The sequence below is a fragment of the Homo sapiens genome, chromosome 7, assembly GCF_000001405.40.
Source record: "Homo sapiens chromosome 7, GRCh38.p14 Primary Assembly".
In the NCBI taxonomy this organism is placed as follows: domain Eukaryota; kingdom Metazoa; phylum Chordata; class Mammalia; order Primates; family Hominidae; genus Homo; species Homo sapiens.
Window position 1 is genome coordinate 92,715,928 of NC_000007.14, and position 26,132 is coordinate 92,742,059.

Consider the following 26,132-nt stretch of genomic DNA (forward strand, 5'->3'; position numbering starts at 1 on the left):
AGTGCACAAGTCAGGAGATCTGGCAAGGTTTGTGATCTCAAATAAAGAGGGATGAAGCACAATAATTATCTGAAGGTTATGAATGGCTGCCCAGACACACATTCAAAGTGTAAATGTTACTCCCTCAGAGCTCAAGTTATTATCAAGGAGTGACGCAGGCAATTGGGAAGATTAGTTGAAAGTTGTGTCTAAAACAAATTAAAAAAATTTTTTTGGATGCTTATAATTGATGATGCAATGACACAAGCAGCAACATGGAGAATGCAGAGTAGGAAATCCATTCATTGATTCATTTGTAAAAGCAGGGAGTTGTGAAAGCAATTAAGTTCAAAGAATAGTGAAAAACTGATAAAGAATATGTGCTTATGTTATGTGCTTACCACTTTGGGTAGAAGCGATGGAAAGACAGAAAGGTAGGTTGGAGCTGAGCTTCAAAAAACTTTGTATGCCATGCTGTAGAGTTACAGTTCATTCTCTAGGCACTGGAGAATCGTAAGGATTCATTCATTCATTCACCATGTACTCAAGTGCCCACCTCGTGCAAGGAAGGCACTGTAGGAAATGCTAAAATACATTATTTGGACTGAGTGAATAAAAATGGATATGGCCAATGTTACAGAATTTGAGAAACATTATCTTGACTCAGAAACTTACACTATGATATTATCAAAGCCTAAGCAAAATATTGCCACCTCTCCTTTCCTTAAAAGGAAGCAGTGACAGCTCTAAAATACAAGCAGCTCACGTGTCCAAAGAATTAAAGAGGACACAAAAATCCAAATTATTGAAATGTTGCTTTATATTCAATTCCAAGGACCATGTCTCATACTCCTATGAGTATGAATATAACACTTGCGTTGAGTTAAGCAAATTTAGGGGAGATGGAATTATCTCATTAAATAGAACTCTTCAGAGAAGCCCCTAAACTAGCACAGAGGCATATTCCCAAAAATGTTAAATGTAGGAGGCAAAATGTTTTTTCATCTTCTGGATCCCTGAGAAGCCCTTTACTTGAAAAACTTTCTGAAGCATATGGTCTCATTAATCTTAAGACAATGCTTAGTCTTTATATCCAGTTTGGCCTCAGGCTTTTGAGATTTTGAATGGCATCATATAGGGTGTCCGTATGAAAAACAGGCCCAGGCATGGTAGCTCATGTCTGTAATCTCAGCACTTTGGGAGGCTGAGACAAGAGGATTGCTTGAGGAATTTGAGATCAGCCTGGGCAACATAATGAGACCCCCATCTCTTAAAAAAAAAAAGAACGTAGCTGGGCGTGGTGGTGTGAACCTGTAGTCCTACTACTTGGGAGGCTGAGGCAGGAGGATGGCTTGAGCCCAGGAGTTGGAGCCTGCACTAAGCTATGACTGTGCCATTGCACTCTAGCCTGGACGACACAGCAAGACCTGGTCAAGGAAAGGAAAGGGGAAAGGAAAGGGAAAGGGGAAGGAGAAGGGGAAAGGAAAGGAAAAAGGAAGGAAGGAAGGAAGGGAGGGAGGGAGGGAAGGAAGAAAGGAAGGGAAAGGAAAGAAGAAAGAAAGAAAAAGAAAGAAAGAAAGAAAAGAAAGAAAAGAAAAGAAAAAGAAAGAAAGAAAAGAAAAAGAAAGAAAGAAAGACAGACAACCAGATTCTCTGTATCATACCCTGATAGATGCTGGCTGAACAAATGTAGGAAAAAAGCAAGGAACTTCTGGCTCTTTCTCCGAGTAAAACATCCTCCAGGCAGTAGCATTACAGTTGAACTGTTTTTGTCCAGAACTAATTCGCAACAGTGACCACTTATGAAGGAGCTAGAATTAGGTGAGTCAAATGAATGACTATCTTTTATAAACAAGGGAATCAGTCATTTGATTCACTTCGCAAATCCACTTGGTGCAATTAGATAGCCACATGCATGCACATGCACCAACAGCAGCTTTCTGTGCAGTATGGAATACATTCTCTTTCTACATGGCAGAAATTCTCACAGTGGTCATCGATATTTGCCTTCACCGTGGAGGCAGAGCTAACCTATCAGATGGTAACTCAAATGTGTTTTATTACCACTGAGAACGCGCAGTGGAGAATCTGGATGGGTTTTCATGTTTGTTTTGGCTCTGGCATTTTCCATGTACCCAGCCCTGGGAATCCTAAAGAAAACGTGTCCTGTTCCCAGCTCTGTGCACTGCCCCCATTGTGTTCCACTTCCCTCACTGGTGAAAGTGAAAACGAAACCGGCACAAACCCTCCATTGTTAACTATGAAATATGTACTGGCAACTGGATGTTTTAACAAAACAGACCTGGTTGTGTCATGGCAAGATGTTGAGAGGGGAAGGAGTCACAGGAGCCCTTCCTGCTTCAGAGGTGTGTCCTGCACTTTCGCTGAGGTGCCGAGGCGACGGGGCTTTGGGTTTTTTCCATTATACTCATGTAATGTTCTTGGTTTGATTTATTCAGTATGCACTGGCAGCTTTTGGAGGCTTCTGTGGGAGCTACTCGGCTGCCCAAGCCGAGGCACAAACCCTGCCAGGTCTCCATAGTAAATACAACACGCACGAAGAGGAAACAAGCATAAACAATTTATTTTCTCCTGTAAAAGATGACATTGTTCTCCGATCTCTGGTCCTGCTTCACTTTGTCACTTGGTGGTGCCAACTGGGTGCCGTGGAATGAGTTATTCCAAACACACACACACACCCCAAGCACGAATTGCATGACGCGCACATTCACAGGGCCCACATCCAGGCGCGTTCAACAGGAGGATGCTGGTGACCTCTTTAAGCATCCCACATTTTGACCTGGGTAAGGAGGGAGGGCTTCCCTGGCCCTTAGCCTAGGCAGGTTCTTGAGCCTTATCATATGGCCTCATAAAACCATATCCCTTTCCTTTATTGCATTTATCTCTGTTTCTAACTAGACATTTCTTTGTGTGACTATCTGATTCAGATCTATCTCTCCATCTCGCTTGTAAGCTCTCTGACCTTGTCCATTTCCATTCACCATCATCCCTCAGCTTCACTGACAGCGTCTGCACATAGAAAGTGATCAGTAATTATTTGTTGACTGAAAGCCACAACTCCATTTCATTGATTTTCTCCCCTAGGCTTATCAAAGTTTCTGAATCCACGAGGTTCCGTTAGTGTTACTAAATGCTATCAACACTGAGGTCAGAGTAAGGAAGGAATATCATCAGAGGCACAGGAAGGGGATGTAAGTAATTTTTTTTTCTTCAACTTTAAGTTCCAGGGTACATGTGCAGGATGTACAGGTTTGTTACATAGGTAAACGTGTGCCATGGTGGTCAGCTACACAGACCATCCCATCACCTGGGTATCAAGTCCAGTATTCATTAGCTATTCTTCCTGATGCTTTCCCTGGCAATTTTTGTAATACTTCTGGTATTAAATAAGTTAATGATCTCAAATAAAGCAATATTGGGAATCTTATCAGTTACAGATTTAAAAAAAAATTTCCAAAATTAAGTTTTGTACTTTGTACAGCTGTCGAATAAAAGTCTTCTCATGTTTAACATTTACTTGTTGTCTTTTTGTAATTTCTATGGAATAAAGGGTGTTTTCAGAACATGTATATCTTTTATTAGTGAAGGTAATATGGAAAAAAAGATTCTTGGAGAAAGAGAATATAATTCACTTAGTGAGAATTTTATTAAGTCACTAAAAAGATGGGAACATACTCCCACTCTTCCATTATGGTACAAAGAGGAATGTTTCTCTAAACTATACAGGTGTGTTTGGCACAGGCATTTGAAGGAAAAATGCTAACTTCATGAATAGCATTAAATGATTGTATAAAGGCCCCAAAAATACAAAGATACTGAGGTACCAAAAAGAATGACCTCATTTTAGGGTACACTTCTCTCTACCCACGGATGGCTTTATGATGGCTGTCCTGGGGAGTGGCTGGCTCTAACTGCCTGGGTGTTGGCAATCACCTGTGGTATAAAAACATCAATACTGGCATTGCCTTGGGTGGTCCTTACAGTATTCCCATGTACACTGAGAGCAGCACAATGAATGTGCTGTTGCAATTATGGACTTGGGTGATTTTAAGGGAGAGGACACAGATAGGACTGAATCAAGAGAATGCTTCATTTTTCCTAAGCAATGATACTTTTATAAGACATTCAGGTGCACAATGTGGCAAAAGTTTTATTGAGGTCTACATAAAAAAAGAAAACCAGGAGGCACCAGTTCATGACCCAGTGTTCCTCACTGTGTCAAAATGTGGCATGAGCTAGTTGTCTGTTTTTGGTTTTATTATTTTAACAAGACTTAAAAAATATTCTTTAAAAATGGACTCCTAAACATTTGTGGAACCTCTAAATACCCTTTGTAGAATCTGAGAGTTCCACAGAACACAGTTTGATACCCTCTTGGGTACTGAATTTTTGGTATGGAGAAAAGAGGAGTGGGGATAGTGGGCCAGAGCCAGAATATAAACATTAGAATTCTCCAAGCCATTTACAATCTATTTGGTAAATTCAGACTTAAGCTGGTCACACTGCCTGTTTGAATGGCAGTTTCCCCACTTTTCAAAATGAAATGGTTGATAAAGAGTTCCAAGAGCACCAAATCCAATGGCAACAATATCACCCTCCAAGCTGTATGATTAGGTTTAGAAAAAAAATTAAAGATTTTGCATCATAAATGGGAAGACAAGACTGCTCCCTTCCTGAGCTTGCTGGTCACAGTGCTTCATGACTGTCAGAGCCCTCACCAGGGCTGCTGATGATGTTCCTGGCTCTGCTCTAAGACATGTCAGACCCGGGTGCACAGTGAGGTAGGACTGAAATTGCTGGCTGAGTGGCTGGTCTCTTTTTCCCTTATCTTCACAAAAATAAGTTGCACCATGCACTACATTTCACATGAGAAGGACTTAGAAATGTTGACTTCAGAGTGACTCTAAATATAGTTTCAGCTAGTCACAACAGTCATTGTACCGAACAGGTGTATATTCTTGAAACACTTTTGCCAGAGACATTATATAACTTCACATGTCATGATTTTTACCTATCAGCTATGTACAATGGAAAGAACTTCCCTGTAACCTGTTCTCATTGGTTTTCCAATGAGAACAAATGTAATAGTTCAATAGAGGTCAGAGAAGTTAATTTTTCATGGTTTCAGAGAAACTTTTCTGATAAAAATAACCCATGCCAGGTGTTAAATATAACAGGCCCCACTTCTCTTCACATTTCCAACTCCTTCTTTGAACCACAAGGGGCCTCATACACATGCTTACGGACACTCCAGTCTGCAAGTCCAAGCTCTGCCCATATGCTGCAAACAGCTGCCCCTAGGCTTAGGAGTGAACACACAAGTGGCAAAATCCCTATTAGGAGGAAGGATGAGCCCATGCCCTTCCCATTTAGTCAGGGAATTGCAATGTCCTGTGTGCGGTATGGGGCAGGGGTGGAGGTCTCAAGAGACATGCTTCCTTGGCACCCTGGGTTGTGTGCTCCATGAAGGGAGACAAGGCTGGAGTAGGGCCAGTGTAGGCTTCTCTAAAGCATGAGATCCAGGTCAGGGGCCCCTCTTGCCTAGGACCAAGGCAAACACTGTTACCATCCACATCTTAATTCTACAACCTTTAAAGAAAAAGGTATAATACTCTGTATGGGTACATGTGCATACAAGACACTATATTGAGCAGCAAGAACCCAATACCCCATAAAGACACCAGAATGTCATGTTGGAGGCAGCCTGGCAAAGTTAGGCAAAAGACATTTAACTCTTTGATTAGTCCTCAATTTATCAGATGAGGACAAGATAAGTCATTCAGCCCGATGTTGCATACCACCTACAGCTACAACTATGGTCCAGGCTACTGTCCTAAATTAATTTCTACCAAAGGCCAACATATGAAGTATATTCTACTTATGAAACTCGTGTTTCTTAACAAGAAACTTGTTTTCACTAGAAAAATAAAATAATAAAGATCATAATATAAAGGGTTATACCTTAAGATGCCTGGAAAGCTTACCTGTCTAGAACAACTAATTTCTCAATTAATCCAAAAGATGCCTTGTCTTGAATACTGGCATAGAGCATACTGGCTCAGAAATTAAGGAGAAGTAGTACTTCAGGATCTGTCAGGTGATCATGAACTTAAAATGAAAATAAATACTGTTAACTGCTCCCTCAAAGTTCTATATGTAAGAACATTTTGAAGTTTTCAGAAAGAAGCTAATAATACAAGCTTTTATAATTGTTCAAATAGAAATATCATTTATTATGTAAATATATATATATTAACATAGATAGTAAAAGTTGTCTAGTAATTCACCCATTCTTTCATTTAGAGGATGTTAATTATCTTAGAAGAATATGACTCCTCTTCTAAAACTTGCTTTAATAACAAAACACAAGGGGCTAAAGAAAGTCTTCAAATAAGTAAAATTACAATAATGCTACATTCCTCTATCTCTACAGCTTTCTGTTCAGGACAGGAAGTTCAATTCATATATGTAATTTGTTCCTGAGGCAGTAGAAAGGATTATGATAAAAACAATACACAGACTGTGAACTTGGGTTTGCGTCAACTTTTCACTCCTAACTTGAGATTGAGCTACAGCATGTATTAATAGCTTTCATGATTTTGAACACAGATATGTGCTGCCAATAAATCAATCAGGACTAGGGTGCAAAATGGACTCAGCCATTTTAAGGTATATGGAGTAAGTCCTTCAGCTTAATATTACCAGGTAGCTATGAGGAATATTGACACACATCAAATGAGACCATTAAATGTATAACATAGCTCCTTCTCTATTCCTGTTATGACTCAACTGCTTATATCTGCAAGTCAGCATTTGTCAATTTATTCACTGAAAAATATTTCCTGAGTGCCTATCAAAATAAACAAGGCACTGTGTGTTAGGGCTGAATAAGATGAGCATCTGCCTTCGAGGAACTTATGGCCTGATAAATAAAATTCCCAAATAACTAAAAACAAGACAGAAAACAGTATTATAGGCTGGGCACAGTGGCTTATGCCTGTAATCCCAGCACTTTGGGAGGCTGAGGAGGACGGATTACTTGAGGTCAGGAGTTCAAAACCAGCCTGGCCAACATGGCAAAACCCTGCCTCTACTAAAAATACAAAAATTAGCCTGGGGTGGCCTGTAATCCCAGCTACTTGGGAGGCTGAGACACGAGAATCGCTTGAACTCGGAGGGCAGAGGTTGCAGTGAGCTGAGATAGGGCCACTGCCCTCCAGCCTGGGCAACAGAGTGAAACTCTGTCTCAAAAACAAAAACAAACAAAAAAACCCAAAATATTACTCTGGAAACAGAGAGGAAAAAGAAATTAATTTCTGAAGGGGATACTAGAAAGGGTACCTCTGGAGTCAGGCTTTGCAAGGTAAGTAAAATACTAGCATTTCTCATAGTTTTAAGATGTCAGTTTTGAATCAGTTAACTTGTAATTCCTTTAACATTCCACAAATTAAGTTGATTCTCAGTTCCTGTATGACATAACCCACTAAAAAATGTGTATTTCCAGGAAGAGGAGTGTAGTCTTTTTCTCTTCAAGAGACACTAAAAATACATACCAGTTCAGTCTAAAAAACTATGATTCCAAGTTTTTATGTCACCATGTGTATATAAATCGACGCATTACTATATTAAATGGGTATTTCCTTTAAATAGAAAAATACAAAAGAGTGGGGAAATTTTAAAATGCAGTACCCTGTAGGAACATACCCTTTATTATTACCATTAAATTCCAACCGTCACTCTTTCCAATAAAGTCTGATTTTTGTTTTAGAATCCTTCTCAGCTGCTAACATGTTTTACTTATGTCACTATAGGAAATATAAAGCATGCAGTATAAACTAGATACTGAAAAATTGTGTATTTATGACTGCCTTTCTCCTTTTCCTCTATGAAATAATTTGTCTACATTTTCCTGTTTGAACATATCAACTTTCAGCAAGAATGGAATGTTAATTGATGTTACGCACAAGCTCAAATTTAATAAGCAAAAAAAAAAAAAAAAAATCAAACACAAACCAACTGGGTTTCCTGTTTTTATTTATGGTTATTAGTGCCCATTTGGGGGGATTAAAATAAAAGCGTCCATCTCAGTTACAGCTTATCCTTCCTTCAATTAACGTACCCAAGGAGACAAGTTCCTTCCATCTACTCCCCTGATGACTCTCTGGATCACAAAGCCTATTCAAGCTTCTCCCCAGGGCCCCAAAACAACATGCGCAACAACTTCCTAGGGAAACTCAAAGCCTACCTCACCCTTCCCACTGGGGAAATACACAGACTCAGCCCTTTCTGGTGTGATTACATAAGAATACAAGGGCTTGCTTGACCGTGCTCAAAGCTGAGGCCTATCTTTTAAACATCAACTCGTGCCATTTCTCCTCTAAAGCAATGGTGTATGCTGGGCAAAGAGGAAATGAGTAGGATTTATCTTCTAACAATGGCAACATTTTCCAAGGAATCCTCTGCATCAAAAGTTCTGATGCCCTAGGAAAAGTCTATAATGTTTGGAAAGTAACTGGTCTTACGTGTCTAGGTGGTAGCACCCCTATTTTGACTGGGGGCAGGGGGTGGGGAACACTTTTATAAATTGGATTTTTTCCTAAGGCAAGTTATCTGTCTCAGAGAATTTCTAACTCCTCTCTTGAATTTCTACTTATCAGCTGTAGTATTACTGAAATTTAGGGAAACAATTTTTTGCTGTGCAGAATGACCAAAGATGTTGCCAATCATTACTTAACAACAGGGCCATGCTGTCCCTGATGTGAGAACCACTTTGAGGCTAAAGATGGACAATACGGATTATTTTTTTTTATTTCTTTGAATATACAAAGATATTTTCTTTTTTAAAATTCTTTTTCTTAAGACTTAATTTGCTATATATTATTTATTTAATTTACTGTACGTAAGGCATGAATTTACTGTATGCAAAACAGGTCTTTCAAAGAGAAGGGTATTAATACCTATTTCCAGGCTGCTCTTTTTGTATTTGGGGTGCAGAATTTCACAAAAATCCATCTGAGAAATAATGAACTATATGGAGAAATAGAAGCTAACCAATGTCAATAGCTATTATGGTTTTGCAGCTGAATGGCAAAAAGAAACAGGGTATCATAACTGTTATTTTTTGCCAAAACAGGGCCGTTGGGTTCGCTCTTTCTATTCAGGGTTATATGAGCCTTCACCTGGCATGGCGGTGCTCTACGTTCATGCATCATCCAAGTTCACTGTGAATTTGATTTCTTCTTTACAGCTGGCACCATAGCTTCAGATGAGTGCATTAACAAACCTGTGTAGGCACTCTGTTTCTCAAAACCATGATGCTGCAGACAGGTCAACGTTGCTCGTGCTCTTTCTTCCCTGACCTTGAGCTGTGTGTTCCCTAGGCATTGTACATACAGCTCTGAAAACAGTGGTTATGGCAGAAAGCATTTGGAAACTTGTAACTGATTCCTGTCCAGTGGCTAAGATGCAACAGGCTATTTCTGCAATGGATCCTGTCCACAACAAGCCCAGGCTGGATGTGACTGTAGCTGTAAGCAGAATGCTTTCTGCCTACCCACTGCCATATAAAAATGGGCAAAGACATTCTATCCACCAACTAGTCATGGGCAGTACTAACATTAGAGACATGGAAGAGGGACAGACTGTCATTCAAAATAGGAAAAATAAGTTTAATAAAAGGACAGCACTCTCTCACTCACCACTGAGGTTAGAGCCATCTGGAAACTATAGATGCGGGCAAGGCCGAAGTCAGCGAGTTTTATTTGTCCGCTGCTGGTCACCAGAATGTTCTGTGGTTTTAGATCGCGATGCACTACTCGGTGTGAATGAAGAAAGTCCAGACCTCGGAGAAGCTGAAACATCATATCCTAATAAAATTAAAAAAAGAAAATCAGTAAACACTCAAAACGGAAGTTGAGCATTTGCTATGCTGGACGCCGAATCCTTAGCATTTTGTGGCTGCTTGGCATGCGGCAGGCATTTGACAGGTATTGGCTGAATGAGTGAATTGTCTCCCTTCCTGCCTTTCCACTCCCACACTTTCAAGAACACTGCAAAAAATTTCACTCTCAACCTGTATTTTATTAATGAAAGGACAATTTTAAAATAGTTTTTGATGGAATAGGAAACATTCTGGAAGGATATCTGCCAAACTGGTTTCAGTGGCTCATGCTGGGGAGAGGAAGGAGGAGGTCGTGAGGGGACACTTTTTGCTTCTCTATTGTTTAATGTGCCATTTCAACAATTAAAATCCAGTGAATAATAATATTGTTATTAATGGTGATTATTATTTTATAGCACCTAGTACTAAACACTCACTATATATCAAGCACTATTCTAAGCATTGTCCACTTAGTAAATAATTTAATCCACACCACAACATTTAGGTAAATAATATCATTACACCATTTTACAGGTCAAGAAACTGATACACAGATGTAGGCTACTAATTAGCCCAAAGTCATACTAGCAAGAGAGTGCTGATTAACTGTTTGTTTTTTTTTAAACAGGATCTTGCTCTGTTGCCCAGGCTGGAGTGCAGTGCTGTGATCACGGCTCCCTGCAGACTTGACTTCCTTGGCTCAAGAGATCCTCCTGCCTCAGCCTCCCAAGTAGCTGGGACCACAGGTGCATGCCACCATGCTAGGCTAATGTTTTTAGTTTTTGCAGAGATGCGATCTCACTATGTTGCCCAGGCTGGTCTCAAACTCTTGGGCTCAAGCTATTCTCCTGCCTCAGCCTCCCAAAGTGCTGGGATTACAGGTGTGAGCCACCATGCCCAGTCTTAATCAACTGTTTTAGAATATTAACAGAGTCTTGATTTAAACTAGGGTCTGGAAAACCTCGATTCAAATCTCCAATGTATTCCTTTATCAAATCAATGAACAAATGAATACGTAAAATAAGGCAAGCCATTTAACCTCTCTAAGGCTTAGTTTCCCTGTCTGTAAAATGGGACAGTAACAAAGCCCACTTTATCATAGGATCATTGTAAAGCACTTAGCACCATAGTTAATATTCAGTAAATGGCAGCGCTTATTACTGTTATTATTAACCAGTATGGAGGAGCGGATCATTCAGGATATAAACCAATATCAGATCTTTTTCTAATTTTAGGACCAATACAAATATACACAAGATTTAATACTCAGGGACAGTGTCTGAAGGTAGGAACTAAGACATTGGCCATGATGTCATAATCCTCTGAAATGTGTGGAAATTAAGAGTGACCTACTCCCCTGACCCAAATATTATAAGAATGGTGTATACAAGGGAGGATGGAGCTGTTTTGTTAATACAAGGGTTAGAAAAATGACTGGGTACCACCATGGATTTCAGAGCTGGAAGGGGCTGTGAGGATACACTTATCATTGGCCGGACCACTGAATCCTCTCATCGAGAACAGTATATTTGGTTACTGGTTTATGGTTTTGGTTCTTCCTTTAGAGTTCGGAGTTCTGTCTTTATATTTTAGCTTGTTCAAAACCAAAGCCTTAGTTTTTCCTTTTATAAAGTGGAGAAAGTAGCGATTACTTTTCCTACTATTAAGGGGGCTAAATGAAGTAATGTATGCCAAGTGCTTGTACAGTTTCTGGCATATGGTAAGCACTTGACAAACAGTAATTATTAGGATGATTATTGCCAAGATAAGTGTCCTGATTTCTGGGGGAGACTGATTCACAAACAACTAAAAGAAAACATGACCACTGCTACAAGGTCGGTGTGAACAAAGCACTTAGAGGGGGTATGCAGTGATCTAGAATCATTTCTGAGATCCCCCTGAGTGAATATTCTGAACTGGCAGGGGTGACCTTCTAAGCTTCCCAAAACCCTGGAGAAGACTGCATTGGGGAGGAAAAGCCCTTCAAGACTTGAGAAGCACTGCAGGTCCAATAAGTTGTAATGAATAAACAGGAGTGTGAAAATGTAGCACAAAATGTTCAAGGAACATTTTGGCAAATAAGTCTTTATTGGAAACACATGCACACAACTTGTAAGCACTGAATTTTAAAAAGCATGACTAACCTAAAGTAATGTCCTGTTGGCTCATCATCTTTAGCCTCTATACAGTTAAGTGTCACTCATTTAAAACAGTATAAAGAATAAATCTGTTTGGTTCATGCTGCAGTGTTCAAACAACTTTAGCAGCCAATTAGCAGTATACAAATTTAAAAACATGCACATCGTTTTTATTTGTGTTATAACACACACTATGTTTTTCTTAATTATAAAATTGCTAAGATGTATAGATGCATGCTTAATGCAGAAACTAATAAAATGTTTTAAGAATCCAGAGAAGAAGAAAAATCACTAAAAAATTCCACTACTTGGAGAACAGAGAAAACTTCACTGTTAATATAACTTTTTTTGTGTCTTTTTAGTCTGTCTTTTAAAAATTACGTATTTTATTATATTTGGATGTATAAGTATATTTAAGTAAAAGTGGTTATTATTCTGTACACATTATTTTGTAGCTCTTTTAAAAACATGTAACAATTCATTATCAACATTTTGCCACTAATAAAATTCTGCAATATGACTTTTTTTATACAATGAGATTTTTAATGGCTGCATGGTTTTTCACCCTGGGACATGCCATAATTATTATTATTCAGTTTTAGTTGTGTTACTTTGGCACTTATACTACAGGTCTAGTTCTTGTTTGTTTAAAGGTAGAGTAGATTAAAAGGGCTTGTTAATATCATACCAAAGCATGGGTTAGGCAGTATGAATCCACATGACTGCACTAACGTTGATTCCATGTGTATGATGCCTATAGATGTAAGTTGGTTCTACATAAGAATGACCATTCTTTAGATTTTATTAGGCTACTTAAATTTTTTTTTTGTTTAGCAAATGGCTTTTCTTTTAAATCTCCAATATCTAGACACAATTGGAATTCTGAACCAATGAACACTGAGTTAACGACTTAAAAAACAAAATCTTGCCCAACATCTCATGACCTTCAGTAATTCAACCACGAGTTAGGTTGTTGGGCATTGTGAACCTGTAATAAGCATGACTGGGGAACCCCTCTCAGTCTTTAGCCAACCTTTATTGCAATACCTAATTTCAAAGGTGAAGTACATTCAGCTACGTCAGGAACTCTGGTCCCAAATAATCATAAGATATAGTCCCAATTCCAGAGGATTATATAAATAAATAAATTACAACATTAAATGAGGTAAGAAAAAAACACCTTTCCTACAGAATCACAAGAAGTGTTTTCATCAAAGACATTTCAAAGGACTCTCTACGTAAGCTTATGATCTGTTCTATCTCAGTTTATAGTATCGTGAGGCATACTCTTAAATTAGCTCAAGATTTTAATCTAAATTATTCTGTACCATATATGACTCAAATATTTCACAGTAACCCTAGTGATGCAATGCAATGAAACTACAGATACCACCAATTAAGGCTCTTTCAGTTAAACGCAGGTTTAAAAGTTTCCCTTTTTATGTTATACGGCACAGTCTGGTATAAAAAGTTTGAACATTTAGTCATACTTATGATAAACAGTCACTTGGGACCCTCACTCTATCTTTTTAAAACATGCGACTCGCAAGCATGTTTCAACAGGACACCATTGTGGAATGAAGTCTGGCTCCGAGAGATCTTAGGTGGGGCTTTATCTTGGCAATGCCCCTAAAAAGACTCTGGACCTTTCTGAATACAAGAAATCCTTGAAGTCTTGTAATTGTTTCTCTTAGGTGTTCCAGAGCTCTAATCCTCTTATTTAAAATCAAGACAAACAAGCAAACTAAAAAACGACTTCAGGCTTTTCTAATGGGAAAAGGTTGATCATGGGGCCTTCTTTTCTTTTTCTTTTCTTTTTAGAGGCAGGGTCTTGCTCTGCCACCCAGGCTGGAGTGCAGTGGTGCCATCATATCATAGCTCACTGCAACCTCTAATTCCTAGGTTCAAACAATACTCCTGAGTAGCTGGGACTACAGGTGTGTGTTACCATGCCTGGCTACTTTTTAAACTTTTTGTAGAGACAGGGTCTTGCTATGTTGCCCAGGCTGGTCTTGAATTCCTGGCCTCGAGCCATGAATCCTTCCGCCTTGGCCTCCCAAAGTGCTGCAATTACAGGTGTGAGCCACTGCACCTGGCCTGGGCCTTATTTTCTCATTACAAGAAAGTATGATTATTTCCAAAAGACACTAAAAACACCCAAGTCATATCATAAGTCACAGAATGACAACTTTAAATAGACAATTCTGGATATAGGGATATATCTTGTGATATATTCACATCCTCAAAGTTTTAGCACCAAAAATGTATAATCCTCAGTTTATTTAAAAATTAAAAACAGGACATATCCAACTTGTAGGCAAAGATAATCTATTTTTCTCCTTATACTCTGTAAACCTCAGTCTTTTCAAATTTGTTATTCAAGTTTTCACAGAACTCTCTCCATAGTGGTTTGTCTGTTTCCTATGAAGTGTGTTAGAGGAGGCCACAGACTAAAATGTATCACATATAACAAAGGTTTTTTAACACTAAACCAATAAGAACATGTTGAATTAAGGTGAGGGTTACGATTATAGCAACAGAGGGAAAGGTCACCTGAGCCTGCATATAACTTCTCTCGCATGTCTCCCCATGTACCCCTCCCCTCAGTCCTTGACAGCCACCATTCTATTTTCTGTTTCTATGAATCTGACAACTCTACATACCTCATACATGTGGAATCACACTGGATTTGTCTTTTTGTGAGTGGCTCGCCTCAGTTAACATAGTTCCTTTAAGGTTCATTCATGTTGTGGTGTGTATCATAATTTCCTTCCTCTTTAAGGTTAAATAATATTCCATTGTATGTATATATGACATTTTGTTTATCTGGTGATCCATAGATGGGCACCTCAGTAGTTTCCACTTTTTGGCTGCTGTGAATATTGCTGCTATGAACACAGGTGTAGAATGATCTCTTTGTGACTCTGCTTTCAATTTTTTTGGATATATACTCAGAAGTGGAATTGCTGGATCTATTCCCAGAATGTTTTAAAACCATGGTTCTCCCATAAAATGTGGTATATTGTTGCTACCTAAGCAATGAAATAGTGACTAACAGCATCGTGTTAAGGTCCTAAAGCGTTAGCCAAGTGGCTTGATTCACTCCTTGGAGATTCCACCCACTTTTGTCTGCATTCTGGGAGAATCTACACTGCAGGTCCCCACATCAAGCTTGCTGTATGTATACAGCTTCTACTCTATTTCAAAACCTGACAGGGTTCCCGTGTGCTTTCATTGATCAATTTGCAATGAGCAATGAACAATGAGCTTCAAAGGCTGTTTATAAACAGGTCTCCCCTACTTCTCACTGTGGTCCTCAGGAGGACCCAAAGAATGCTTCATCCAAAATCACAAAGAACAAGACAAACAAATTCTGAGAAACCAAGAGGAGGGTTCAAGAGGATTCCTTAAAACTTCCATATCACCTGGAAAGTTGTAATGGGTGAATTCAAAGCAAGCCATTAACTGGCAAGCTAAAAGAGTCACACATGAGCTTTGTTCCACAGCAAAGCATAGTCCAGCAATGCCATAGTACCCGTCTCTTTGCCACTGTGCATGATGAGTCAGGCACACATCACCTCGAGGCCCCTCAGGAGAAACAAAGGCATGGGCCCTAAATGGAAACACTGGCTTCTAATTTTTACTGCTTCTAGGCAACTGGATAAAAGTGTAATAAAGTGGCATTGCATGTAAATTTTAATAATCAAATATGTATTCTGAAATGAGAACAGAACCCACTTTTTATTCATTCCTGGAAGTGATGATAATGCTGAGAAGGTAAAGAATCAGTCTCAACTAACTGGAAATAAAAAAAAAAAAGATAATAAGTCATTTCCACCAAGCCTGAAAATGTTGGTGTTTGAGGAACAATGTAATGACTTAAATGAACAACATGAAAGAATAAATCATTACCTCATCATAATGGCTATTTTTAACCCACTGTGGAAAATCATCAGGAACTGAAACTGCAAATATGCAATGCTAAACATAATTTCTTCAGAGCAGGAGATAAAAATCAGCACTGGGTAAAGAAGTAAGAAAACATGAAGCCCAAGTTCCTAGGTTGTTGGGTAATGACCCAAGTGGCTATCATTCTATACACATTGTTTTGTGAGGCTTTTAAAAACATTTTACAATGTGCTGTGAATATTTCCCCATTTCAACACACACTTTTCTATAATGAAATTTTAGGCCAGGTGTGGTGGCCCACACCTGTAATCCTAGCACTTTGGGTGGCTGAGGTGGGAGGATCACTTGAGACCAGGAGTTTGAGACCAGCCTGGACAACACAGGGAGACCCTGTCTCTACAAAAAACAAAAAATTAGTTGGGCATGGTGGCTCATGCCTGTGGACCCAGCTACTCGGGAGGCCTAGGTGGGAAGATCACTTGAGCCTGGGAGGTTGAGGCTGCAGTGAGCCGTGATTGCACCACTGCACCCCAGCCTGGGCGACAGCTCTCAAAAACAGAAGAAGAAATTTTAATAAGCTTTCTAATGGCTGCAATTGGACAAAATACTTTCTTATCTTTCCACATTCTTCCTCTCAATTCCCTCTTTTGAGAATTTTCCCCTCACTCTGTACTTCCTTCCTCTTCAAATGAGGTAATGCTTAGAGGAGCTGGTTTTCCACAAGAGTAGAACAGATAATTATTTGTGTGATATAGAAGATACTGCTGGTTGTCAGCCATGAAGACCTGGTCCAGGCCAATGAAGGCAATCACATTTCCTTTTGCTAGGAATTGATCCAGGGATGAACATGACACCCAGTCCTGTATGGGCAAATTGGCTAGAGAGTTTCAGGAAGCATTTTCCTCCTTGATAAGAGGTGCACAGTAGAATGCTCTCTGCTGTACTTCCTCATCTCCCATTCCTCACCCACGTCTTATACTGAATGCTACCGAGCTGTAGCAACCATCTTGAAACATCATCTGTACACATAAAAGGCCAGAGTGTAAACAGGGAAAGAGTCTGGGTCTTTGATGACATCAATGAATAGCTGCATCAACTTTAGGGCTGTCTGCCTCCAGCCTTGTAGTTATGTATATAATAATGCCCTTATCTGGATCCACTTTTCATTGAGTGTTCTGTAATTTGCAGCTGAAAATTATTCTAACAAATCTAACTTAATTAAAATTATATTAACTTAAATATGTTATGAACATTATCTTTCATTTATAGCCACCATGATTCACCCCAGGGTGAGGTACAGACCCAATGGGGCCTGTACCAACATTCTTTTCCTGTTGGCAATCATCCCTTTCAGGTGGTTATCCTTTTCTCTTTGAGGTGTGTACCTCCTTCCATTAATGTTTATAATATCGCCTTTGCCATCACTATCATTTACTGTCAACTCTCTATATTCCCCAGGAACCATGGCTCATCCTGTTTACCCCACACTCAACGTCTTCCTGCAGGACTCCAACATCACTAGGATGCCCAGCTAATATTAGCTTCAGAACTTTGACTTCTTTAACCTCATCCCATTTTTGCCATCTACATAATACTCATGCAGATGGTTAGTCTCTGTTTTCTAAATGGAATGCGAATGCATACAATTTTGTAACTGTCTTTTTCACATCATGCTGTATACTGAACTCATTTGCATGTAGATCTATTGGCAATGTAGATCTACAGCTTAATTTTTAATGGTTCTATATTTTTCTATTTTTATTTATATTCTATGATTAGCAAAAGGGTTTAAGCAGTCATTAAATTACCCACCAATTTTAAATGCCACTATTTCTCATGTTCTAAATTACTTGAAGTTATTTTCTGGACTTTTGCTCTTTGTTTCTGGCTCTGTTTAGAGTACCTCTCTCCTTTAATTATTAAATATTTAGAGTAAATTTTAACATCTGCAGGGAAAGTTTTCTCTTTCCACTCTTTATAAAACATTCCTGAATATTTTTTGAAAATAAAAATATGTATTTATTTATTTTTAGAGGCTGGTCTATGTTACCCAGGTTGGCCTCAAATTCCTGGCCTCAAGTTATTTTCCCACCTCAGCCTGCCAAGTAGCTGGGACTACAGGTGTGCACCATCGTGTCTGGCATTCTTGGATATTCTTATATGTTATGATTATGAACTGACTTCAGAATCATTTTATTGAGTGCCCACACCTTCCAAAAATCCTTTTAGTATTTTCAATGATTTTTAAAAATTGATAAATTGATTTGGGGATAACAGATACCTTTACAATATTGAGTCTTTCCTTTTCTTCATTTACTCAAGTCTTGTTCTGGGCTCCTCAGTAAAGTCGTGTCTTTTTAAATACAATTCCTACACCTCTGAGGCTCCCACTATAGCGGGTCTGGTCCGCCTTCTCCTTCCTCACATATACCATTACCTAGCCTTTCCCCACTGATCTCAGTCCTCAAATCCATCTTGTACTCTCTGTCTAGACTGAACCCTTAAAAGTGTAAACCTGATCCTATCAGATAATTCTCCTGCTTCAGCCCCCTCAGCCAAAGCCCACCTAGCTCTCTGGCCCTGCCTCCTGGTACTCTGTGGATTTCTGCCATCTTTACTCATTTACTGCCCCATGGCCCCAACTCCTGGCAGGGTCCTGCTTAAATTGCTCTTCCTCTAGATTTATTGGCCTCCCACCACATTGTACTAATGGGTGTCAATAAATGCTCAATGAGTTTTCATAAAGAAGTGAGGGCCCAAACAAAACTAAAAATGACCATGAAATCTATGAAGGCCATTAGCTTAAAAAGAACTCACTGACTCCTTTTAGGAGGAATGCGATAAAACTCCAGGGGAATCAGAAAGAGCAGGTTTGGATTACGGGATAGGGACAAAAGAGGCATGGCATATAAATCAGTATTCGTACCTTTTAGCCATTAAAACATGTTCATATGTGTTGAGACTTTGGGCTCATTATTTTAGAAATATAAAACTCCCATGACTATAATGAACACTGACACACTGAACAAAAACAATGAAGGATGCTTCCTATCTTACCATCTCTTTCAGAAGCAACTTGCCCAGGGGTCAAGAGACATGGATTTCAGCACATTGTTCCACAGCTTGGGGTAGGACTAGCTTAAGTACCTTATCCTCTCCCATCTCTAAGAGAAGTATTCCACAGATCAAATCACTTTGCCTGAGTCTTCACTTGGATGCAGAATTGGACTATTGGCCAAATCCCCTAATACTACTTTAATTTCATATGATCATATCAGAGTTTCTCAAAGTACAGTCTCTTACTCCAGTGTTACTAAGTTCCGTTCAACTCAGCCACTAGTCAGTTGATTAAGCAAGTTCCACCTTCCTTCTTATCATTTTTGTAATAGTACAGATTTTTTATTTCATTTTTTACTTTTGTCAACTTTTATTTTAGAATCGGGGGTATATGTGCAGGTTTGTTATAAAGGTATATTTCATACCTTTGTATGTCTAAGGGTGTAAATGATTCCATCACCCAGGTAGTGAGCACAGTATCCAATAGGTAGTTTTTCAGCTCTTCCCCGCTCCTCTAGTAGTCCCCAGTGTCTATGAAGTCCCAATTTTTTGGAGCCTCAGGTTTTCACTTATAAAAACCAGAATAAATCCTGCCCTGCCTCTGTCATAGAACTGTGGAGAGAACCTAGACATTTGATTATTTTATATTATAGATTTGATTTGTTTTTTAAACTGCCAAGCGCTATCCAGCTAGATTGCAAATTCCTTGAGGAACAGGAATGCAATGCATCTTTATATTCTCCAAGAATCGAACAAGGCACGTTATACATAGAAATCTTTTGGTTTTACTTGATTGGATGAATCACCCAATAGTCTATAGATATGCATTAAGATGAATTATAGTGACCTTTGCTCTTGGTTTTGTGTACAGGAGTTATAGAACATTCTCACCGATTAAACTGATTCCTGAGTCTTTCTTTAGCAAAAAAGCCATAATCCTGCATTGTGGCTTATTGGTTATTCACTAAGAATTTACTGACTGCTTGCCAAGTGGAGGCATAAAAGTATTAAAAAAGTTTCTTTTGGGTACGTATAAACCTAAGTGAGTCACTTAGACATGAGATGTAAATTTCCATTTTTGAAGGCAGTATGATTTAAAAGAAAGAGCACTGGGTTTTGAGCTAAAAGCTTTGGATCCAAATTTGTACTTGCAAGTTAGATAATCTAAGACAAGTCACTTGCAACTTTCGTGGGCCTTGCTTTTCACATCTATTTTTGAGAAAATGACCCCACAAAAAGATTTAAACAAGATATATTATAGATTATGTAATATATATTTATATATGATTATGTGTATTATGGTTATATATATGACATAGGATATTATGCTTAAGCACTTTATTTATTGTAAAGTTCATACACATAATAAATTGCTACCACTTATTCAAAAGAACTATGAAGTCCCTACTATGTGTAAGGCATTGTGTCAGGTGATGCTACACGGAAGCACCTGAATAGAGTGTCCCAAGGAGCTCTTACTCTAGCAGGGAGAAAAGAATATGTACCTACATACTTCATGTCAGTATGTGCCAAGGACCACAAATGGCACAAGAGCGCTAGGCACTGAGTAAGCACCAAGGAGGGAGCAGCATCTAAGCCAATCTGGGAGGAAGGCTGGTATTAGTTTTGGTGTGGGGAAGCATCTGTCATGGAGGACACTAATAGAGGAGGAGGAAGTGCTTACGTGTTTGTACACCAGCTATAGCTCCAGCAGGCAGGGTCCTAAAGAGGGCACACTGCTAAATGGGACCACACTGCAAAGGGATTTATTGCTGGTGGACACAGGGAGTCTATAGTGTTTTATCTTATATTCAGTGGGTAAGTAGTAAAAATGTGTAAAACCATGGCATGTTATTATTGACATTTTAGCATACATAATGGATGGGAGGTGGTGTAAGGAGGCTATGATACTATTCTGAACATATGATAGAGAAGGTCTAAATTAGAATATTGAAACAAAAAGCAAGGGGAAAAGCAATTCAAGAGACAAATGTGATATATTAATATTTGTTCTCACAGTTCAATTTTAATGGCCCATCTTTGGAGAGCTCCGCTACATTTCCAGGTTGCACACTGTGTGATCTTGGGCCTGTTATTTAATCTTCCCTCCGCTAGCATCTAACCTTCGTTTCTTCATCTGTAAAATGGGGACAACACTTTCTTGTAGGGTGGCTACAAGAACTAAAAATAATGTGTAAACCTCCCAGTTTGGGTAAACAATGTGTAAACCTCCCAGTTTGGGTAATGGGTTCAGCACTGGTGCCACTAAATGAAGATGAGGCTGTGATAATACTATAAGTTCAGATCCACTGAATTTTCCCCAGTTAGTATGTGGATAGCCTTCTATCTTCCCTAACACTCTATTAAGATCAACAAACACAACTTATAATATAATCCTTAAAATATCTGTTGTTTTAATTAAATCAAATGTTATGTGGTCTGTTCTTAATTTTGAAAGTCTAGGTCCTTAGAAATTATCTGTTATTATTCATTGAATGTATTACATGTTTCATTTTGTAAATGACCCAACTTGCTAAAATGGTTTTAAGTTGCTTTTTCCCTATACCTGGACAGATTTTTCTGTAGGCCTCTCTGACTATTGAGATTTCCCGAAACTGTCCTTAGGTGCTTTTTATAGGATAATAACCGGATACTATAAGCATGAAATATACCATTTTACTTAATCAACATATATATTCTGAAGCTACTACCAAAACGGGAAAAACATTACAAATGAACTTTCTTACATAGTTAACTCTGGTTGCTTTCTCAACTTAACAAATAAGAACTAGAATTTGTGACATTATTTCCTTATGTTATCCATTAATGCTGAACTGTGTGCATTCCAATACAGAGAGGGGGAGAGGAGCAAACAAGGACTCTGAAAAGAACACTTAGCTTCATTTGGTCAAAAAATGGTCTTTACAAGGGTTTTTATTATGGGTCATAAAACATGCTTACCACAATGTACCTCCTTGAAAAAGAAAAGAAACCCTTGTAGTGGTGAGAAACTGAAAACAACACACTGAAAGTCCTTGTGCCTCCTTCCCATAAACACATCTGTGCATATTATCTGTTTTGGGTAGAGTTGCACGCACAGCTGCTTATGGGGACTCCATAGAGGTGGGACTTCAACATTTTTTATTTTGTGTTGTTGCAAGGACTGACTTTTTAAACTGAAGTCAGTTATGATAGAGGTAGCCAATGTATCTCCAGTGGAAGGAGGACCATGTACTCCTCACTAACAACTTCTTCAATCTGCTGGAGGAAGAGGATCTGGGTGGTCACAACTAGTCAGGAAAAGCATGGAGGTGCAGAGGAAGGGGGATCTTCAGGCCAAATGGAACTGAAGAGCTACCCACCAAGGCAAAACTGAGAACTGGGTTAACGATCTAATGACTCTTACAAAGAAGAATTTATCCAGCTAATGTTAAAATTGGTATCACAGGCCAGCACAGTGGCTCACGTCTGTAATCCCAGCACTTTGGGAGGCCATGGCAGGCAGATCATCTGAGATCAGGAGTTTGAGACTAGCCTGACCAACATGGTAAAATCCTGTCTCTACTAAAAACACAAAATTAGCTGGGCATGGTGGTGCATGCCTGTAATCCCAGCTACTAGGGAGGCTGAGGCAGGAGACTCGCTTGAACCCTGGAGGTGGAGGTTGCAGTGAGCCAAGACCGGCCACTGCACTCCAGCCTGGGCAACAAGGGCAAAACTCCATCTCCGAAAAAAAAAAAAAAAATTGGTATTACAATAGGAATTGCCCAGGGAAACATGGGCATCCCTATAGATGGGAAACTCTTAGTGTTCAGCATAATAGAGTACAGGTATCCAAGTTTTTGCATTGCAAATACAATTTATGTATTCAGTGCTACTCTGATTTAGGGATACCCCTGTCTAAAATGTCTTGAACTAGTTGTTTTCTTAAACGTGCGCCTCTTGCCTTCAAACTTTTCCTGGCCCACCTAAAACCCCCAGTCAGCTTTTGGTATTATTCTTTTTCCAGGCACCAAAAATTGGCTTCCACTTTTTCTTATACTGGTCCTCTAAGGCCTAATCTCAGAACAATTTGCACATCTCTACAATTAGGACTGCTGAGAGAAAATGTTCATAACAAGTCTGAAGTGGTTGCACATCATGGTCTCTAACTTCATCTGGGCTTTCGGTACTGCCTTCTCTGGGTCTCTAGTAAGCTCCCTTTGCTATTGTCTATAATGGCTACCAAAAACATTCACCATTTGTTTGTGTTTCCATAATTACCTTTGCAATTATACTTCTCAAGACTGTCTTAAATTTTAAATTCTGCCTCCACCCCTCATCTCCCATTCATTTGTGGCTTCAACATTTAGTCACATTCTGAGGCATCCCCAGTCATAAGGCAGCTGGGGCTGCTCTCCCAAGCTCCAGATGTGCAAACTTCTGCATGTGCAAATGTACACATGCTTCCTGCTATGTTTTTTAGAATAGTCCCTGGTAACTGTAATCTCCATCTGTTCCAAAATAATAATACAGTTTCTTTACTCCCACCAAAACCTGTCCTTCCATCTGTATTTCTTATCTGGTATAATGGTACCACCATCCACCCAAATGATCAATTCAGAAATCTGACAGACATTTTAGATTCTTTCTCTCCTCCCAAACACATATCTAACAAGTCACGAAATCATGGTAATTATAGTTCCTACATTACCTTTCAAATAAGCCCTTCTCTCCCATCTCCATGGCCCTTGCCAAGTAGTCAGTATCTCTTGCCTGGATTACTACAATGGTGTTCCGACACAAAGAACTCCTGTCTTTAGATTTTTGCATCTTTAATCTTTTCTCCACTGCACTAAGTGGTATTTATTTATTTATTTTTTTGAGACAGGATCTCACTCTGTTGCCCAGGCTGGATGGAGTGCAGTGGTGAAGCTCACTGCAGCTTCAAACTCCTGGGCACAAGCAATGCTCCTTCCTCAGCCTCCTGAGTAGCTGGGACTATAGGCACATGCCACTATGCTCAGCTAATGTTTTATTTTTATTTTTGTAGAGACAGAGTCTTGCTATGTTGCCCAGGCTGGTCTAAACACCTGGGCTCAAGTAACTCTTCTGTCTTGGCCTCCCACAGCACTGGGATTACAGGTGTGAGCCACCATGCCTAGCCCTAAGTGATATTCCTAAAAGGTAAATCTGAGTCATGCAGAAGTCCCCCACTGTTCACTATAAGACAAAGGTAAAACTTAGATTGTTACCTAAAGCACTTTAACGTCTGCTTCCTAACTATCTCTGGATTAATTTCCAGCTGTTCCTACATCCCTGTTACTATGCTCTGAGGGTAACATGCTCTATTATATCTCTGTTCTGTTGCAATGCTATTTGCTTTTCCTGGAATGCTTGCTCCATTGTCCTATCCCCCGATATACACACATCTTCCAACATACACATCTTGTCTGTCTGGCTCCTTTCAACTTGTCTTTCAAGGCTTACTTTAAGTAACTTTTGGCCACATCCTGGGCAATTCTCCTTACAGGCACAGGTTATGTGCCCGCCTCGTATAATCTCACAATGCTCTGAGCATAGTTCTGGCACAGAACTTATTCCACTTTACTCTAACTGTAATGTCACCCTCCCTAGATTACAGCCTCCTGATGCTAAGAAAGTAACTGGAAATGGGGGTGGGATGAGAAAAATAAAGAAGCATCCTAGGCATTTTACATACATTATTTTTTTCCCAGGTACTCTGCATACATTATTTCATTTATTTTTCTCAGCAACCCCTTGAATAAATTCATATTCATTTACTCATTCTACATTTGTATCATGAGCCAACTTGTGTGGCAGGCTGGAGAACAAGGATGCCTTGTCTCATGGAGCGAACAGTGAAGGCGGGAAACCGAATTTGAGAAGCCAGAAAGGTGCCTAACACACACAAGGCCCATATCATCAGAAACCTAAGCTCCTCCTCACCTCGTGCCCAGGTACACGTGGCCCCTCTGCAACTCCTCAAGTCTCCAGCCTCAGGCACTAAGTATGAAAGGAATGACCCAATGCTGCTTTAAAAATATGCTACAACCTTGTAATTCAACTTCTAGGAATTCAGGCTACAAAACCAACAAGTTTACAATGAGTCAATACAAAGACATTCAGTGCTGTTTTGCTTGAAAGAGTAAAAAAATGAAGACAGCTAAAATATCCACAATTAGAGGAATAGTTAAATAAACGATGATGTGTCTCTCTGTATAATATCAAGCAGCAATTAGAAAGAACATGGGTAATTCTGACATGTAAACTAGATAAATCGACAGAGAAAGGAGTAAGGCTTAGAGTGATATATACAGCTTGATTCTATTCTGACAAAACAAGAGATATATGTACAGGTTTATGTATGTGTGGCTATGTTTGCATTAGGATGGCCAGATAAAACGTAGGACACTAAGGTAAATTTGCATTTCTGATAAACAACAAATACTTTTTTAGTTTAAGTGTGTCCCATGCAATATGTGGGACATATTTAAATAAAAAATCATTTGTTGTTTCTTCGAAATTCAAGTTTAACTGAATGTCCTTATTTTATTTGCTAAATCTGGCAATTTTAGTCTGAATATATATAAAAATGTTTGGAAAGAGATATAGCTACAGTTAAAGATTGCTACCTCTGTCAGGTGTTGAAAATGGTAGGATTATGGGTGATTTTTACTTTTTGGATTCTCCTGAATTTACCAGTTAAAATTATACATATATATTAATGTTTCTTTTAATCAACCCTACTTTTTAAGTTAGTAGCCAGCAGTCTTTAGAAAATAAAAAAATGTAGTAAGTCTCTGGTAAAATTTGTGAAATAAATCCTCTAAGGACCATTAAAAAAATATTCCACAGAAACAGACGGCATAGTACTTCAGAGTTTTCTAAGTAATGGCACATAACTTTCTAAATTATAAACAGCACTGTTTTATGTCCTCAACAGACTATAGCTACTCGAAGATAGTAAGTACAAGTTATTCAGGGTTTTTTGTTTTGTTTTGTTTTTCTTAACTGCCACTTCCTGACAGATTCTAGGGAAGAATAGGTGCTCAATAAGTTTTATGCTTTTAATATTTAAAGCATAAAATTATTGGAAAAGTAAAAGCTAGAAGTGGTGCTGACAGACAATAAAATGAACCATTTTA

At 39.0% G+C, this 26,132-nt stretch overlaps 1 protein-coding gene across 3 annotated transcripts in view, besides 5 other annotated features; it reads right to left on the bottom strand.

Annotated features, from left to right (window-relative positions):
• CDK6 (cyclin dependent kinase 6) overlaps positions 1 to 26,132 on the bottom strand; it is a 231,653-nt gene that overhangs the window by 111,007 nt on the left and 94,514 nt on the right. For all 3 annotated transcript variants that reach the window (NM_001145306.2, NM_001259.8, XM_047419716.1), the window contains exon 4: positions 9,699 to 9,866. In NM_001145306.2, the coding sequence (NP_001138778.1) occupies positions 9,699 to 9,866 (168 nt within the window). The remainder of the gene's footprint in view (positions 1 to 9,698; positions 9,867 to 26,132) is intronic.
• Positions 1,951 to 2,000: an enhancer, noted in NCBI's record as "active region_26269". NCBI's record gives its function as "activates an Ori minimal core promoter by ATAC-STARR-seq in GM12878 lymphoblastoid cells {active_cell/tissue: GM12878}" and the evidence as "EXISTENCE:reporter gene assay evidence [ECO:0000049][PMID:35858748]".
• Positions 2,021 to 2,320: an enhancer, noted in NCBI's record as "active region_26270". NCBI's record gives its function as "activates an Ori minimal core promoter by ATAC-STARR-seq in GM12878 lymphoblastoid cells {active_cell/tissue: GM12878}" and the evidence as "EXISTENCE:reporter gene assay evidence [ECO:0000049][PMID:35858748]".
• Positions 7,952 to 8,508: an enhancer, noted in NCBI's record as "NANOG hESC enhancer chr7:92353193-92353749 (GRCh37/hg19 assembly coordinates)". NCBI's record gives its function as "activates a minimal SCP1, AML or CMV promoter by ChIP-STARR-seq in naive H9 embryonic stem cells {active_cell/tissue: H9 hESC(naive)}" and the evidence as "EXISTENCE:reporter gene assay evidence [ECO:0000049][PMID:30033119]".
• Positions 21,908 to 21,977: an enhancer, noted in NCBI's record as "active region_26271". NCBI's record gives its function as "activates an Ori minimal core promoter by ATAC-STARR-seq in GM12878 lymphoblastoid cells {active_cell/tissue: GM12878}" and the evidence as "EXISTENCE:reporter gene assay evidence [ECO:0000049][PMID:35858748]".
• Positions 22,178 to 22,327: an enhancer, noted in NCBI's record as "active region_26272". NCBI's record gives its function as "activates an Ori minimal core promoter by ATAC-STARR-seq in GM12878 lymphoblastoid cells {active_cell/tissue: GM12878}" and the evidence as "EXISTENCE:reporter gene assay evidence [ECO:0000049][PMID:35858748]".